The sequence below is a fragment of the Homo sapiens genome, chromosome 2 (genome assembly GCF_000001405.40).
Source record: "Homo sapiens chromosome 2, GRCh38.p14 Primary Assembly".
NCBI lineage: Eukaryota > Metazoa > Chordata > Mammalia > Primates > Hominidae > Homo > Homo sapiens.
Window position 1 is genome coordinate 206,525,864 of NC_000002.12, and position 19,672 is coordinate 206,545,535.

General features: G+C 38.3%; 1 protein-coding gene across 3 annotated transcripts in view; it reads left to right on the forward strand.

Annotated features, from left to right (window-relative positions):
- The window catches only part of ADAM23 (ADAM metallopeptidase domain 23), a 177,596-nt gene that overhangs the window by 82,332 nt on the left and 75,592 nt on the right, over window positions 1–19,672 (forward strand). For all 3 annotated transcript variants that reach the window (NM_001410985.1, NM_003812.4, XM_005246932.4), the window contains exons 4-6: window positions 5,022–5,085; window positions 16,189–16,271; window positions 17,390–17,453. In NM_001410985.1, coding sequence (NP_001397914.1) covers window positions 5,022–5,085; window positions 16,189–16,271; window positions 17,390–17,453 — 211 coding nt within the window. The remainder of the gene's footprint in view (window positions 1–5,021; window positions 5,086–16,188; window positions 16,272–17,389; window positions 17,454–19,672) is intronic.

Consider the following 19,672-nt stretch of genomic DNA (forward strand, 5'->3'; position numbering starts at 1 on the left):
ATAGGCATGAGCCACCGCGTCTGGCTGGTTCTTTGTTTAAAGTAAGGGGTTCAAGTTATTTTCCAAAAAAACTGGATCTACTCTTCTTGGTTAATAGCTTTCCTAGATACTAGGGAATCTTGGTACCTAACTTTTCCAATTATTAGAATCCTTGGCTTCTCCATATGGAACTTCCTTGTAATGGAAGATATAAACTTTTGGGAGTTTTGACCACATGGCTGTTTATGTGTCTACTTACATTAGAAACATGAATCTCATATTCAAGGATTCCAACAAATACACACACACACACACACACACACACACACACACACACAGACACACACAGACACACGTCTATACACATACATATAAAACTTTCCTGAGGTAAATCTCTTTTTGTGAATTTCCAATTCCTAAATATAATAGCAGCTCTGCTTGTATAGTTGCTGATGATTGTGAAATTCTTTGAACATAGATTTCTAAAAGATATTTGTGATAAATCCTGAAATTAGGACAGTTTAGACAATGTTTCAGTGACAAACATGAAATCTGAGACTTCAGCACTGTAAAATGTTATCTCTTCCCCACACTGCGATATAGTGCAAGTTGAGTAGCTCTTTTAGACAGTTCTTCTCCAAATCATGATGAAAGGGTCTAGGCTGCATTCATATTTCTGTTATGCCATCTGGAGCATGTGGCTTCCAGGGTTGCCATGGAAGAGAGGGCTTAGATAATCCTGCAGGGATTTTAGTGGTCACACTAGAGGGGCAGACATCACTTCCTTCATGTCTCATTAGCCATGATCCATTGTCTTGGCCCTAACCTAACTGCAGCAGAACCTGCAAAATGTGGTCTTATCAGGATGCCAGGAAGGGGAAAATGAAATAGCATTTGGTGGACACACAGCATTATTTCTGCCACAGTTCCCTTCATTGACCTGATTCTTGGCTCATTTGTCATGTTTCAATAGTTTTATATTCTCCTGCTCTTACATGTTCTTCATATTTTGAGTAAAATCATATTTAGTCTCATTCTAGAGTTCCTAGAGTTTTCACCACTTTAGTGGTGCAGATTCACCATGAAGGGCAGAGTGAGTGGGTTCAAGAGTTTCCTTGTTCTAGTTCTTCCACTTTCTTTCACTGGCTTGAACTTCCATCCTACGTTTATTCATTTACTTATAAAGGTCACTCCTCTTTCAACAGATAACCTGCATGAGAAGCATGGGAGTAGCCAGAGAATACAGCTTTTCTGTAGCTTCAGTGATTGAAAAAAGATGTTTATTTTAGAATTTAGGATGTTCAGAGTTTGCCCACAAGTTGTTAGCATCTTCAGAACCAAACATCCAATTGGCTGATCAACAAAGTAAAATGCCAGTTTATATTTGGGTCCGCAATTGCTAAATAGATGAGTATTAGCATTTCAGAACATTCTGTTTCCAACAGGAAATTGTATTAGGACTACAGAAAGCAGAGGTGGAGGAAAGGACAACTCATCTTCAGGCATGTGGAGACATAGATTACCGGTTCCTTCCTGGCTGGGTGGGGCTGGAGACACCACTGCACAATCAACTATTCCCTTCTCCCTTTTTAGTGTTTCTTGTCCATCATCAAAAATTACATTTCACTATTATTTCAAGACTTTTATAATTAATTAGGTTACATTTCAGTTGATGTAATTCACTCTCAAGGAGATTACAAAATAATATTTTTGAGTGAGGTGATCAATCTTGCACATTTGTGCTGATTTTGCTTAGTTTCAATTTGAAAGTTGCATTTTTCACCCTGTTTCCAAGCCCCTATAGCAGGTGTTGGTAGATGTTTGCTCACTCAGCAGATATTGATTAAGGGCCTACTATGCATTAGGCATTATGCCAGGTGCTAGGGATACTGTGATGAGTGGAATAATTAGTTTCAAGGGAGGCTGGCTGTGGTCAGACAGAAGGAAAGAATGGAGTAAATGGGGATGTGTGCTATTTACAGGAAGTAGAAGAGTGGACTGGCATGGTGAGGAGGGGCATATGGTGGTGTATTTCTCTCAGTATTTGCCATAGACCTCCTGAAAAGTAGCTGTTTTTCTTCTTTAAGATTCTAAAATGCCAGAGATACTAGAAACAGGTATGTTCATGAGAAGAAGAGACCCTTAAAAAGAGGGAAATAGGATAATTAAAGTGACCTTTATGAGATTTGGGAATTCATGGTTAGAATGCCCTTGTAATTACAGGCAAAATTAAGATAACGTTGTTTCCAACTCTTAGATGTGCTCCAATGATTGTGTGGTTGAAAATGTTGAAAATAGTAAATTACCTGTAGAGAGACACAGTTGGAATGTAGTTAGGGAGACCTCTCTGCCTCCTGGTGTTGCAGAAGCTTTCTGCAGAAGAATGATACCATCACCAGCTTCATCTATGTATATCATAGTGCTGGTAGCCAACTTAATTAACTAGCAGTGAAATAAGTTTCTGCACCCTGTGAGATATTCCCCATGTATACAGAGTTCAGTAATTGTCATTACTTTTACTATCTGAGATTTTTAAAAAGGAATGAGTAGACATACCACAATTTAGTTTCAAGTGTAGAATTATCCTTCAGTACACATTTGGTTTGTGATTTTAATGGGAAACATGTCTAAAGTTTAAGCATTGGCTTCCTTTCTGTGTTGGAAAGGTTGTCCTTCATCACACACAGGACATACGCAGGACATACCCAGGAGGCCCCCAGTTACTCTGTTGACTGGTGCTCAACACCCCTTTCCAGCCCTCTTCACTGGATTATTTTTAGAATGCATCAGATGCAGCTCTCAAAATGATGCAAAATCATTGAGTCCTCCCATTTTTCAGCTAAAGAAGTAGTGTCACGGTTTCCTAACAAGAAAACCTACTATGAGGCAAAATTATAGAAAATCAGAATAGCAGAATAGGGCATGAGCTGAGGAATCTTCTGCTTTAGCCCTTCATTTTTGCATAAGAAGAAATAAAGACCCAAGTTTAGAGCATACAGCTGGCTTAGAGTGGGACCTACTCTTGTCCTTCAGTTCCCATTAGGATTAAATGAGTTAATACCATTATAGTCCTTATAACAGTACCTGTGCCATAGTAAGTGGTCAGCAAATGCGAGTTATCACTTGTCATTATTCCTAGTGATAGAGCCCAAACAGGAACCTAGATGCCCTAATAATCCAGTGCTCTTCAGGAGGCACATATTTTGTATTTCCACATTGTATAGGGAGAAATATGTTTTAAGAAGTTGAGTTAAAATAAAAATAGTGACTGCCACAATGCCAATTAATGTGTACCTAATCAGCATACTCAGTACTCTGTACTGAATAAGTACTAGGCTAAGAAATGCAGTACTTAGCCTAGTACTGCATAGTCTGAGTTAAATACTGCATATTCATGGTTTCCTTTAATCCTCACAATGTTCTATGAGATTCACATCCTTGACCATCTCCATTTGACATACAAGTTGGGGAACTTGCCTATTTAAAAAATAGGTTTTAAACACTATTTGACTTCAATGACTTTCTTAACCTTTGTTATTTATTTATTTATTTTAAATTTCTTTTTCTTTCTTTTGAGACAGGGTCTCACTCTGTCACCCAGGCTAGAGTGCAGTGGTGCAATCGTAGCTCACTGCAGCCTCGATCTTCTGGGCTCAAGCAATCCTTCCACCTCAGGCTCCCTAGTAGTTGGGACCACAGGTGCATGCCACCACACCTGGCTAATGTTTTAAATATTTTGGAAATGGGGGTCTTGCTATGTTGCCAGGCTGGTTCTCAAACTCCTGGCCTCAAACAATTCTTTGCCTTGGCCTTCCAAAGCTGAGATTACAAGTGTGAGCCACTGTGCCTGACCCCTTACCCTTCCTTTTATCCCAGGAATTGGCAAACTATTGCACACAAGCAATCTCTGGCCATTCTTAACTTGTACAGTCTGCAAGTTAAGAATGTTTATATGTGTGTGTGTGTGTATATATACATTTTTTTTTTGAGATGGAGTCTCACTCTGTCTCTCAGGATGGAGTGCAGTGGCATGATCTCGGCTCACTGCAACCTCCGCCTCCTGAGTTCAAGCGATTCTTCTGCCTCAGCCTCCTGTGTAGCTGCGATTACAGGTGCGTGCCACCACGCGCGGCTAATTTTTGTATTTTTGTAGAGATGGGGTTTCACCATATTAGCCAGGATGGTCTTGATCTCTTGACCTCGTGATCCACCCGCCTCAGCCTCCCAGAGTGCTGGGATTACAGGCATGAGTCACCATGCCCGGCTTTGTTTTATGTATTTTTTAATGGTTGAAAAAAATCAAAAGAAGGATAATATTCCATAACACATAAAAATTATGTGAAATTCCAATTTCAGTGTCCATACAGTTTTATTGGAATACAGCCATGCTCATTTGTTTACATACTGCCCGTGGCTGCTTTTGCAATATAATGGCTGAGCTGAGTAGTTGTAGTGGAGCCCGCATGGCCCACAAAACCTAAAATATCTACTCCCTGGCCTTTATAGAAAACCCTTGCTGACCTTTGCTTTATACTCTTCCTTGGTGATTACATTTTATGACATTCCAACTGTTTAGGGCATAATTGTGGAATTTTTATAGGATCTGTCTCCTCAAGTTACTTGCCTTTTGGTTTGTTCTGTATTAATTAACATATCAATCAGATCCTGAATAATGTGAATAAAAAGAGTTCACCGTCCGGGAGGCGGAGCTTGCAGTGAGCCGAGATCGCACTACTGCACTCCAGCCTGGGCGACAGGGCGAGACTCAGTCTCAAAAAGAAAAAAAAAAAAAAAAAGAGTTCACCGTTGGATTGTCTGTGTCTTGTCTTTTTTTTTTTTTTTTTTTTTTCTGCAGATTGGGGAGTAATTTATTCCTGGATACTGTGTGAAACTCGATGATAACCTGTTTTTGTTTCTGTACTAACCATGGACTGCAGCTATTTCTGGTTTGCATGCCCCTCACGTTCATTTATTGAGCCGATTGTTTTTAAACCTCCAAGTGTCTTAGATGCAGAAATCACTCTATTTTCTTTCCTTTGTAGTGGTTTGTTGTCTTCTGATTATGTGGAGATTCACTACGAAAATGGGAAACCACAGTACTCTAAGGTACGGTTACCGGCGTCGGCAAGTACTCTAGTATAAGTGTGCTTATCATAGAGTTGATCAGTGCACACTGCGTTGTTTTGACGTCTGTCTCAGTAAAATCACCTGTGCTCTTTTACAATGATACTATTTTTAGTGAGGAGAAATTTATTAAAATATACAAATGTTTGAGGTAACGTTAGGTATTCAGGACAAAAAATGTTTATTGTTTTGATTATACATGCAGTACCTTTTGTGATAGTATAAAGAGCTATACAGTTCCATATCAGCACCTGAAAGTAGTTAGTAAAGAAGGATGAGGCTCATGGCCATCGAATCTGGATTAGAAGACTGGATGGGCTGTTAGAACGGTTCTTTAGTGCAAATGATTTTGCTGCCCAAGAAGGGCAGAGGACAGGTGGGGGAAGTGAGATTTAGGTAGTACTTTTTCTCTAACCTTCATAACAATTCTATGAGGTGGATGTTATTATTCCTGCTGTACTATGGAAGAAATTAAGGCAGAGAGAGGGCAAATAAGCCTGCTTAAGGCCACGGGACATTGAATATGAGGGTACTTGGGTATCTGATTCCTTCATTTGGAGATGAACTTTCTTGTCTTCAGGGAGGATTAATAAAGAGCAAGTGGATTTGGATTAAAGCAAGAGAGAGAGAGAGATGATTTGTATGTAAGAAACAGTGACCTCCGTCAGTCAGGGTGAAGATCCCCAGAATGGCTACAGAAAGAAACTCTGACTTCTAGGGAATCAACAAGTGCCACTGAACCTGAGCAGTGTCCCAGTTACTGGGGACACCAGAAAGGAAACAAAGTGGGGAAACCTCACTGGATTTTTGTTTGTCTTTTTCCTAGATTGCTAACACATGTCAGCATAAAAGTAGCACCTTTCCCGTATGTGGACTTGTGCCATATAGGTAACTGGGATTTTCAATCTGATGGCTTCTCAGCAAATGTTTATAGGTGTCCTTCATTATAAATACTGCTCAGGAGGCCCTGGCATGTCTCAGGATTTATAACATTTCAATTTGTAATTGGACGTGTTTTCCAGCCTTTGAGTTTTGTGCCACAGATTAAGAACTTTCATGTATCATTCTTATTAGTTGTCAGTTCTTGCCTTAGGTTGCATTTGGGGGTTGTTGAGTCTCCCTAAAAGTTAGTGCTGTGGAAAGTGAGCAGAAAAGCTAAATCAAGCGCGGGAACAAGCTTCCTGGCATTTGTACAAACTGAAGCTTCTGTCAGCTGTGCCAGGGCCCTGAGCACTGCAGATGCTGAATCATGAGCCTGGAGTAGACAAGATTGCAGGGAACTTTATAGACTCAGCAAACGAGCCACATTTGCAGGACACAGAAACCTGATCCAGACTTCTCACTAAGGCACTTAGTTACTTTTTTTTTTTTTTTAAAGAAACAGAATAGCTAATTGGCCTCCAGAGGTCATTTGAGGTCCCAAAAGGAGACCTTATCATTAATAAGACACTCCAAATCTGATATCAGTTGTAACTAAAACTTAAAAGGTATTTCAACTCTAGCAAAAGAAATTGTGTTCACTGCAGTTTGTTTTTGTGTTCACTGCTTTTCTCTCTTTCATGACCCATTTTCTTCAAACAGCTCATATACCCAAACTTACGTGCTTCATAGATAATGAACTAACAGTCTGTTTTTTATGTGTCTGTATTTATGTACATCAGAAAAACCCAAGATGATATGGTGCACACTATTTTATATCAAGATTTTTTAAATGTAGCAAAATTTTAAATATTTTAGCATATATTAAGTAATCTTCTAAACCTTTAATTTTTAAAAATTTCATAATATTATTTCTAATTCATTTGTTATAATATGTTTAAAAATGCCATGGTGATAGACATTTTGACTCTTTCCAATCTTTCACTATCCGAATAACTTCAAGGGAAGGCCTTCCAGATACGTTTTGAATACATCCCTTATAATTGCTTCAGAATTAATTCTGAGAAAGGAATTTTCTGGGTCAAAGAGTTGGTACAATTTTTTAACACTCTTCATATATATTAACAATTTTTATTTCTGAAAGTTTGTATAAATTCATATTCCCACCACCATTACATATATATATATATTTTTAAAGCATTTGTAAATAAACTTCATGAAGATTGTCTTTTATGCTGCTTCAGAAAATCTTTGTACAGAGTACCAGAAAAGGAAATTAATATGTAAGAATGGCTAGGTTAAACTTATTTTCACATAATGCAGCCTTTTTTCCCCTAAAGATCTCAAATTGTTTTTTTTATTTTTATTTTTTTGAGATGGAGTTTTGCTTTTACTGCCCAGGCTAGAGTGCAGTGGTGCAATCTCGGCTCACTGCAACCTCCACCTTCTGGTTTCAAGCGATTCTCCTGCCTCAGTCTCCCAAGTCGCTGGGATTACAGGCACCTGCCACCATGCCCAAATAATTTTTTTTGTATTTTTAGTAGAGACGGGGTTTCACCATGTTGGTCAGGCTGGTCTCGAACTGCTGACCTCGTGATCCACCCGCCTCAGCCTCCCAAAGTGCTGGGATTATAGGCGTGAGCCACCGTGCCCGGCTCAAAGATCTCAAATTGTTTAGAGAAAAGTACATGCACACATTGTACACACACATGTAGACACACAATATTTTCCACGTAACTAAAGAACAGTCTATTTGGCTATGAAGTTAAATGTGAATGTGGATATTGACAGCATCCCAGGAATTAGTTGCAACCATACTTTGCAAAGAGGGTTGTCTAGGTTTTCCCATTTCACCACTAACAAGCCCCTCTCTCATTCTTACTTCTCACTAAGAAAAGATTAATGTCTTGGCTTTTACTTTTATTGCATGGACATGGGTTAAAAGTGCTTCTTTCCATGTGAAGCAAATATAGGAGCTCGAGAGGTCCAAAAGAAGCGTGTAATATGAATGCTAGGTATCAGTCCAAGAATAAGGAAGAACTTTTGTTCTGCACTTGATGGAGCAATAGCTTTTGTTTAAGTTCCTACCAGTGCTTTGCACATAATATATAATAAAACTATTTTGTTGATTTTTTTACAACTTTAAAAAGTAATTTATTTACTTTTCTTATTTAAACAAATTTATTGGGATATAACTTATGTATCATAAAGCATATAATTGTTTTTAGTATATCTACAGAATTGTGCATCCATCAACATAATCTAATTTTAGAATATTTTCATCACTGCATAAAGAAACCACACCACCTGTTAACAGTTGCTCCCCAGTCTCTCTTTTACCAACCATAGGTAACCACTAATCTATTAATACTTTCTATCTCAATAGATTTGCCTATTCTGGACATAAATGAAATAATATAATAGGTGGGCCTTTGTGACTAGTTTCCTTTTTCGTCCCTAGTTTTAATGAGATATAATTGAAAAATAGAAATTACATATATTTAAGGTATGTAACTTAAATTGTATATATAGGAATTGTATGTATTATTCAAAACATCAGGTTGATATGTTGGTACATTGTGAAATGGTCACCACACTCAAGCTAATGAACACACCCATCACCTCACATAGTTATCTTTTTTTTTTTTGTAGTGAGAACATTTAAGATCCACCCTCTTAGCATGTTTCAAGTACTATATATTTGTTGACCAACTTTGCTGATGAGCCTATTTAAATAAGTTAATTTTTAGCATTTCAGTTCTTATAAAATAATAAGCATCAACAAAACACTATGAAAGTACTTTTCAAAATTAACATATTTCTATTAAGTCTTTTTTGGTGAGCTGCTAATACATATTTGTAAGTGCTTACTAATACTTTGATTTCTCTTCTGCTTACGTCAGCAGTCATGATGAATAAATAGATGAAGTGCCTCCATCCCAACTTCCCTCTACCTTATTACTATCATTATTAGGTGGGGAAGGCTTCTTTTCCTAGGTCTATTTCCTCACCCTGGCTTCTTCCTATTCCGTTGCTCATTCTTGCTCAGGGAAGGAAGAGCGGCTTGACTGCTGGGAAAGTATGTCTGTGCAGCCAGTTCCTCCCTCCCTTTTTTTTTCTTTTTTTTTTGTAGGATCTACCTTCCTACAAGAAGAGTACATTCTCTCCACCTTTCTCTTCTCTGAATTGTACTGTGGCCACCCACATGTGTGTATGTGGCTGGGGTTAGGTTGTCCCACATTGTCTCTGCCTGGGTGGGTAAGGCTAGCTACTCCTGGGTGCAGCATTAGCAGGCCTATTAGATTCTCAACTAATCCTCTCCTCCAGTATAGCTCTATAATAAATGAAGGTGACATTTTGATGTTTCAATTCTATGTCACTCTCTCATTTAGTTTTAAACTTGGGTGGGCACCAATTCATACCTATGAGGATGGCTATAATGAAAATGATGGACAATAACAAGTGCTGTCGAGATTGTGGAGAGATTGGAACCCTCATACACAGCTTGTGGGAATGTAAAATGTTGTGTGGCTGCTTGGCAGAACAGTTTGGCAGTTCCTCAAAAAGTTCAACAAAGAGTTACCATATCACCCAGCAGTTCTACTCCTAGGCATATACTCAAGTGAATTAAATACATATGTCCACAAAGAAACTTGTACATAAATGTTCATAACATTATTCATAGTAGCCAAAAGGTGGAAACACCCTAAATGTCCTTCAATTGTTGAAGGAATAAGGGAAATATGGCATATCCACATAGTGGAATTACTATTCAGTCATAAAAGAAATGAAGCACTGATACATACTACACCAAAAGATAAATCTTGTAAACATTATGCTAAGTAAAATAAGCCATACACGAAGGGGCACATATGATACGATTCTGTTTATTTGACATGTCCAGAATAGGCAAATTCATAGGAACTGAAAGTAGGTTCATGATTGCCAGGGCCTGGTGGAGTGGAGGGGAGGAGAAATGGAAACTGATTGCTAATGGTTACAGGACTTTTTTCTGAGGTGATGAGACTATTCTGGAACTACATAGTGGGGATAGTTATACAACTCTGTGAATATGCGAAGAAAAACACTGAATTTTATACTTAAAAAGGTAAACTTTATGATTTCTGAATTATATCTAAATAACAACAACAATAAAAAACCCAGGTGGGGAATAAGAGTTTATTTACCCACCCTCTTCATCAAACAAGAATCCTTTAGGATTGGTCTTGTCACATATGCTCATGAATAAGCCATTCCTGTTCATTCATTAAACAAATATGGTTTTACTGTATAGCATAATGTCCTTTAGGTCTACCCATATTTGGCAAATGCCAGGATCTCCTTCTTTAAGGCCGAATGCTATTCCATTGCGTGTGTGTTTGTGTGTGTGTGTGTGTTGAAATAAGCCAGACACAGAAAGAAAAATATTCTGTGACCTCACTTATGTGTAGAATCTAAAAAAGTCGAATATGTATTTATGTTGGTGCAAAAGCAATTGCGGTGTTCGCCATTGAAAGTAATGTCAAAAACCACAAATACTTTTGCACCAACCTTATAGAACAGTGGTTACCAGGGGCAGGAGGTGGAGGGGTGGGAGTGGGGTGGTGGGTTGGAGAGATGTAGGTCAGATGGTACAAAGTTGCAGTTATATAGGCTCTAAGTCTAAAGATGGAATGGATAGCATAAGGGCTATGGTCAGTCATATTGTATGATGGGAATTTGCTAAGAGAGTAGATTTTAGGTGGTCACGCCACACGCTTAAAACGTAACTGTGAGGTAGAAATAAGACATGTTAATTTGATTGACTATAGTAATAATTTCACTATGTATATCAAAATATCATGTTGTATATTTTAGATATACACAACTTTTTTTTTTGAGACAGTGTCTCACTCTGTTGTTCAGGCTGGAGTGCAGTGGTGCAATCTTAGCTCACTGCAACCTCTATTTCCTGGGTTCAAGAGATTCTCCTGTCTCAGCCTCCCGAGTAGCTGGGATTACAGGCACGTGCCACCACGCTTGGCTAATTTTCGTATTTTTAGTAGAGACGGGGTGTCACCGTGTTGGCCAGGCTGGTCTCGAACTCCTGACCTCAAGTGATCCACCCACCTCAGCCTCCCAAAGTGCTGGGATTACAGGCATGAGCCACTGTGCCTGGCCTGATATATACAACTTTTAGAAAACAAAAAAGCAGAAAAAATATTGATTTACCTTGTACTGTGACCTTTTTGAGGTCATAGTTCCTGTTCTAGGTACTAGATATGTATCAGTGAACCAAACAGATAAAGATCCCTGCCCTTATGGGTCCTGTGTTCTCTTCTCACCTTTATTCTTTTCTTTATCAGTATAACCACATCACCCTTTTAGAATGTTCTTTGTGCTTTCCTTATCAAATCATCATCACAGCTCAGTTCAAGCTCGCTTCTAAGAGTGAAGGGTTTTTGGCAGCAGGAGAGCATGGATTGTGATCAGGTGGAGTAGGTCTCTGTGCGCGTGGCTCCTGGCTGGGAGGTAGGGTTGATGCAGAGTGGAAGAGATTGGAGGAGTGCGTGTTCTGAAGACCCTGTCCAGTGTATGAGTAAGGGAGGGTGGGCCCTGCAGAAGTCAGTCAGAGTCTGGCCGAGGTGCTGTATTGGAGTCAGGGTATTTTCAGACACACGGGTCTGCCTGTCTTCCCTTTTCTGAGTGTTTCCCCACCTCTTTCTGCTTCCTTTCCTTTATTTTTCTCATTCCCTCTTCTTTTAGTAATATTTTAATGAAGTTTTCAGACTATTTTTTAAATCTATTTTCCCTTCTTTTTTACTGCCTCTCAGCTTGCCATAATTGGGTTTAAAAATTCGTGTTTGTATTGTTTCTAACCAGAGATAACTTAAAGTTTGTATTTCCACTCCTATACTAAAAATGACTCTTTTACTTGCGTGTACACTAGAATTTTTTCCCTAGTCTTTGAATTAATAGCCAGTTTTTTAAAAAGTTTCTTACCACTGCATAAATAATAATTTAAGCAATAACAAGGAAAACAGAACTATCCACACTAAATCACTTAAATTAGATCCAGGATTATCAGTTATTTGAATTTTGAGTATAAAGTTGAAATTATTATTAATCATTCAAAATATTGACCTTCCTGGCAACATTCGGAGTACATTATAGAATATGAAAGGAGCACGGGGTTAAAAAATGCCCCAAGAAATCAAGATAGCAGATGACACTAGTCCTCACAAAGCTATTTTAAGTTTGAATAGTATAATTTATGTGAACTATTAAAAATTTACATAGCATTGGTACAGCCAAACTGTTCTAATACTTTATTAAACTACTGCAAGAACATTTTCCCCATTAAATTTAATGAAGGTAAATAATTAAATTATTTAATAATTTGTGTGTTGGGAGTCTCAAGTTCCCCAAGTCTCCAAAATTATTGTTTTTTATTTCCTTATTCTGCAGTACTCAAAATCAGGTATACATGTCCCATTATAGATATCTTTTTCTATTTCTCATTTGTTATCAGCTCACTGATTTTTAAAATAGTTTAGCATATCCTAGTAGTTGATAAGCTTGAAGAATTTAAAGATATGTATATAGAATAATCATTTGAGTATAGTGTCAGTAGTTTTTATTATTGTATTCAGAACCTAGATATCATAATATACACATTTTCTAGTTAAGGACTGTGTAGTTTCTTTTCAAATGTTTATCCAGACCTGCAGGAATAGATTGAAAATATCAGTGTATGGTCACTATCAATGTCCAGGTTTTTGGGAGTTTCATAAGCAGTAAAGAACTGGCTGATGGAACTTTACCATGCAGATGGAATAATTAGACACAAAGTTGGGGTGCTTTTAAAAACCAAATTAAAACTATTGGTTCTATTTCCACTAAAATGAGTAGAATCAAACAGTTCCTGTTGTTATTACTATTATTATTATTATCATTATTATTTTTTATAGAGGCAGGGTCTTTCTACATTGCCCAGGCTGGTCTCAAACTCCTCCTGGGCTTAAGCAATCCTCCCTCCTTGGCCTCCCAAAGTGCTAGGATTACAGGCATGAGCCATGATGCCTGTCCAGTTCCTGTTATTAGATTAGTAATACCAGAGAACTGGATCTTTTTTTCCCTACAAGTTGTAATCACTAGACTCACAAAGTTATTATCCCCAGCCATTTCTGGTTAGGAAGTATTTTAAAAGATGGACATGGCTTCAATGTGTCAGTATATGAAGAGGAAGCCTGGTAGGTTCCAATGGGATTCTGAGCTTGGAAACCTTGTGGAGCAGAGTTATTATTTGAGCATGATATGGCTTGTGGAGTGTTCAGCTATGTGCAAGTAGCAGGCTGAGAAAGGTAGGGAGCATACTAGGATTTTTAATTTCCTGTGACTAGCCAATAACTTCCACTTATCAGATGCTCCATTTCTGTTGAATTTAATTAACTGACAGTTTTGGATCCGAAAATGCTGATGTCTGTATGGGTGCACAGAGACTTGTGTCATGGGCTGAATCGAGCCCTTTTTGGTTGTCCCTGCTGCCATTTGCCACGTCACAGGTCTGTGACCCACTCCTAGGTGGTCAGGGCCAGCCCTCTTTAATTGTCTGAGGTCTTCCTAACTGGAGAAAGAAACATGGACTTGAGAACCTGAAGATGTGGGAATCAGTTTGTCTTTTTGTTATTTTTAGAAGAGCCTTTTGCACTTTGTTTCTGTCCCCATATGGGTACATGGAGACAGCAGTCACTGTGAGGTAATGGTTGTTGAAGATGGCCAGATCCCTGGGTGGAAGGCACCCCTGGAGCTGACTGTCCAAAGTCATGATTGCCAGTGCCCTTAAGAAGTGGGCTCCCTGTACTGGCCCACTTCTGTTATGCTTGGCACCCAAGATGGATTGCTCTTTCTCTCTCAGGATTTATTTTATATGAGATAACTCAAGATCTTACTTTGCAGTGGTCTGAAGTGTTACCAAATAATATTTTTCCATAGTACTCTTTAAAAACTTGGTATTAATTTAGTAATAAAAAAATCAGAAAATCCTCTAATACTGCTAGTACTAATATTAAATTGGAAGCTACCAAATTGTTTATAATGTTTAATATAACTACACAATTTAGCTATTAAAACTTTCTTATGATGATAAACATCAGAGATTGGATGTTGCCTGAAGTCTCATTTAAGTTTAAAAAAATACAGTGATTCAAGGCCAGGCACGATGGTGCATGCCTGTAATCCCAGCTACTCAGGAGGCTGAAGCACAAGAATTGCTTGAACCTGGGAGGTAGAGGTTGCAGTGAGCTGAGATCATGCCACTGCACTCCAGCCTGGGCGACAGAGTGAGACTGTCTTTAAAAAAGAAAAGAAAAGAAAAGCAGCCCTTCACTGTACACACACACACACACACACACACACACACACACACACACACACACACACACAGTTGTCCTTGAACTGCACGGGTCCACTTATATGTAGACTTTTTTCAACCAAACACAGTATTTGTGGGATGCAAAACCTGTGCATATAGAGGGCTGACTTTCCATATATGTGGTTTCCACAGGGCCGACTGTGAGACTTGAGTATGTGCAGATTTGGGAAATATGTAGGAGTTCTAGAACCAATCCCTGACTTTATAAATATATATTTATCTCTGTTTTCTCCCGATAACCCACCTAAATAACAGTTAGGGGATAAAAAAGGATATGAACCCACCAATACAAAGACAGGAGAAGAGAAAACAAGCAGGTGAGATGTAGCCATAAAATTTCAGGAGATGGAAAGTGGATGAGGAGTGACTCTTAGCTTTGAGCTTTTCATGCTCTGCTAAGTTCGTATGGGGGGAAACCAAGAAGAAACAAGTCAACTTATGTCACTTATCCCAGAAAGGCAGAAATAAAAGCATCTGAAAAAAGAAAAATTGGTTGAAAGTAGATGTAGAGCGGTTAAGTCCCCAATTCACTGCCTGCCCTGTGGAGCCAGATAAGCAGATAGGAAGTCGGGGACTTCCCTAGTCTGGTAGGAGCTCATGTATGGAAAAAAATGGATAGGAGAGAATTCTCAGCTATATTTTATAAATAATAAAAATTATTATTTTTATTATTATAAAATTCTTTTATAAATATTATTTATAAATATTATTTTTATAATAATAAAAATTTATTATTATTTATTTTAAAAAGCTGCCCAGAACTGAAGTGCATAGTTTTCTTGATTAAAAGGTGTCACAGCAGGAGGCTGAGGCAGGAGAATCTCTTGAACCCAGGAGGCGGAGGTTGTAGTGAGCTGAGATCACGCCATTGCACTCCAGCCTGGGCAGCAGGGTAAGACCCCGTCTCCAAGAAAAAAATAAAAATAAAAGTGTCACAGAGTACCCAGTACAACAAAGGAGCAAAAATTCTAAAAATAAATAAATAAATAAAAATGGAGCAAGAATGAAAATACAATAATTATAGTGGCAGAGCTGTGAACAATATTTGTGTACACATAAACAATGAATATAGATTTAACTAAAACTGGTGATATGAATTAGAATGTACTGGGGGTGAGAGAGGTTTTCGAGATCCTATATTAGGTAGATAATTTCTAAAATGGAATTAGTCAGAACATAAAAAGTATAAACATTCAAAAATATATAGCCAAACACCAGAAGAAACAGCTTAAAACATTAAAAATGGTTGCCTTGGAGGTGGAGGGGAAAGAGGGACAAAGGAAACTGCTGTGTTTTTTTAAAAATAAAACTTGTAGTTATTATTTGACTTTGAAAACTACATTCATATATTGCTTCTAAAATGTTTTTAAAGTTAATTTTTAAAGGTAAGAAAACAAATAAGATATTGTATAATTTTCCATTAAAAATGATTATAAACAAACTTTTGGAGTCTCTCTTCAGTCAAGTGGAAGTCCTTATTCTATAACAACATCTGAAAAGTACCTGTACTCCTACAATACATACTTAAGAAATGTATGTTTTATTAATTACCTTGGTGTCATTGTTTTTTAAAGCCTTTTCTCCTTCATTCAATTTAACACACACATGCTTGTTATAAAAAAGTTGAAAAATTGCCTAGTCTTATTTGCAACTTTATATAGGAGGAGTTTCTAGGGTTATTAATACAGTGCACATATATGCCCATCCTTGCATTTCTTTTTGCTTTATGGAAGCACCCAAAGAATTAATCATAATGCATAAAATACAACCAATCAATGAAACCTGCTTTCCAGGGTGGAGAGCACTGTTACTACCATGGAAGCATCAGAGGCGTCAAAGACTCCAAGGTGGCTCTGTCAACCTGCAATGGACTTCAGTAAGTGGGAATCTCATTGGCATTTTATTCATTGACCCTTTCCAGTTTCCCTTTTATGGATATATATATTTTAGTGACTCTTCCGTGCCAGTGCTGTGTTAGGGACTGCATGTGGAGTGGTGCACAAGGAGGGCAATGTCCCTGTCCTCTTGAACACTTAGTGTTTGCAGGAGATTCAGAGATTAACCAAATGATTACATAGATGAATGTTTAATCACCATTGTGTTAAGAGCTGTAAAGGGGAAGGACAGATGCTTGTGGAGTGGCAAAACCTAGTCCAGGAAGGTTTCCCAGCGGCATATTCCAGAGGACATATCAGTTAGACCTACAGCTAGACTTGAGAGTCAGTAGGCCTTAGATCTAAGAAACTTAGACCTAACAGTAAGTTGGAGTTAGCCAGGCAAGGGTGGGGTGACAAAGAGAGGGGTTCGCACATTGACCTAGGGGTGGGCTCTAACAAAACCATGTGTTGGCACCTTTTAGACCTGGACACAGTAGCACCTCATATAAAGACTTAGTTTCGGCCATGTGACGACAAAGAATCTTGAAACTTTTCGCCCTTTTATAAAAAACCTTATGTCCCTGAAAATTAAATGTAATTTGTATGACATAGAGTCATACTGCTTGATGGCAGTTCAGAATTTATAAGCGTAAAGATACCACTGTTTGCTTCTTCAGAACCAGATGGTTTTAGATTATTCTCATATATAAAGAATCTGTTTTCTTACAGATGATATTGAATTTGCATAATTAGAAATTTGTATAGTTGTACATGGTTCTGGAATAATTACTTTAGAGACTGCCACTGAGTGAATAGTCCTATCTCAGAGTAATTTTCTAATCTGTCTGTTGAATTTCAAACATCAGTTATATCAGGTATAATTTGCATGCATTTGATGTATACTTTTATAATTTTTATAGCCTCCATGCTGCCTAATAGAGTGCTGGGGCCACACTGGGACTCCATGCAGATATGTGAATTAAACTTGTGACAGTGTAAAGGGATTTGTTCAGTTATACTCTTTATTTTGAAGACACAATAATGAAGCTCACTTGCTATTTCTTGCCATTTCCTGTGTTTGTTTATTCCCTCCTTTGTGTGGTTTCTTTTGTGCTAGTGGCATGTTTGAAGATGATACCTTCGTGTATATGATAGAGCCACTAGAGCTGGTTCATGATGAGGTGAGTCTATGCCATCAGTTGCCTGATGGCGTTCTACTCCTCCAGCAACTTTGTCTTTGAGAAGAAAAGAGAAAAGAGTGTAGATTTCAAAGTGCCTTTGTACATGTTAACTTATTTCAAACTTAGAGTAGTACCCTGAGTTTTGAAGTTTTAAGTTGCACATGCCAGGCCCATGTACCCGTAAAGGATAGTAAAAGACATCAAACATAGGTTTTCTGAAGCAAATCCTAGTCCTTCCCAGTCTATGAAAAGAGCAGAGAGGATATTTTGTTTTGTATTAGCCAGCCTCCTTACTTTAAACTAGCTTTCATAGAAGTCATTATATGAAAAAGATACTTGCACACACACATTTATAGCAGCACAATTTGCAATTGCAGAAATATGGAACCAGCCTAAATGTCCATCAATCAGCAAGTAGATAAGTAAAATGTGATACACACACACACACACACACGCACACGCACCATGGAATACTACTCAGCCATAAAAAGGAATGAAATAATGGCATTCACAGCAACCTGGATGGAATTGGAGACTATTACTATAAGTGAAGTAACTCAGGAGTGGAAAACCAAACATTGTGTGTTCTCATTCATATGTGGAAGCTAAGCCATGAGGACACAAAGGCATAAGAATGATACATTGGACTTTGGAGGCTCGGGAAAGTGGAAGGTGGTGAGTGATAAAACACATTGGGTACAGTGTACACTACTTGGGTGATGGGTGCACCTAAATCTCAGAAATCACCACTAAAGAACTTATTCATGTAACCCAACACCACCTGTTCCCCAAAAACCTATTGAAATTAGAAAAAAAAACAGCTTTCATTCTTACTGTCATCTTTAGACAATTGTGTGACTATAAGAATGTACTTAACTTTTATGAACCTGAAAATCTTTAGTGGGGAAATCTGTGGGCTGAACTATGATTATATTATAAAATACTTAGTTTTCTTTACAGATAGGGAAGAAAATAATGTTTAGAGTCATGCACAAACCAGTGATTTAGACAAGAAATCACATGCTCTAATAGTGTTGCTTGCTAATAGAATGCAATCAAATTTAAAATTTGACATATATTCAGTAAATATTGTATTGAGGGCTTACTACAAGCTGGGTATTATTTTAGGTTCTGGGGATACTTTGGTGACAAAATAGACAGAGATTGAGCCAAATGGGGCTTACAGTCTACAGAGGCAGATAGAGATACACAGAATGAATAAGTAATTACATGTGGTATGTTAGATAGTGATACATGGTAAGGAGAAAAAGTGAAGCCAGGAGAGTGGAGAGTTAAATTTTTTTTTTTTTTTTTTTGAGATAGTCTCGCTCTTTCGCCTAGGCTGGAGTGCAGTGGCACTATCTTGGCTCACTGCAAGCTCCGCCTGCTGGGTTCACGCCATTCTCCTGCCTCAGCCTCCCAAGTAGCTGGGACTACAGGTGCCCGCCACCGCACCCAGCTAATTTTTTGTATTTTTAGTAGAGACGGGATTTCACCGTGTTAGCCAGGATGGAGTTAAATTTTTTATACATACACAGTTCCGGGAAGTCCACCAAGAGAAGACAAGTGGTGAATGAAGCACTTAAGGAAATTAGAGAGCTGGAAGAACATTCTAGAAGATGAGCAAATACAAAGGCCTTGAGGCAGGAGTGTGCCTAGGGTGTTCGAGGAGCTTTGAGGAACCTGACAGGGTTGGAGAGGAGTGAACAAGGGGAAGAATGGGAGGAGATTAAGGCACTGAGAGGTAACAGTACAGAAGTCAGATCAGTGAAAAGAACTGTAGCGGGAAAATAATATTTTGTGAGTGATAGAGTTAGATTATTGCAGTTATTTGATGGGGAACAGAAAACATTTTTTATCTTTAGGGATTTCAAATTTAGATAAAATTGGGCTGGGCGTGGTAGCTCACGCCTATAATCCTAGCACTTTGGGAGGCTGAGGTGCGCAGATCACGAGGTCAGGAGTTTGAGACCAGCCCAGCCAATATGGTGAAACCCTGTCTCCACTAAAAATACAAAAATTAGCTGGGCGTGGTGACGGGAGCCTGTAATCCCAGCTAGTGGGGAGGCTGAGGCAGAAGAATCGCTTGAACCTGGGAGGCAGAGGTTACAGCGAGCCAAGATTGCACCTTTGCACTCCAGCCTGGGCGACAGAGCGAGACTCCATCTCAATAAATAAATTAATTAATTAATTAATTTTGAAACAGCTAACAGTTAGAT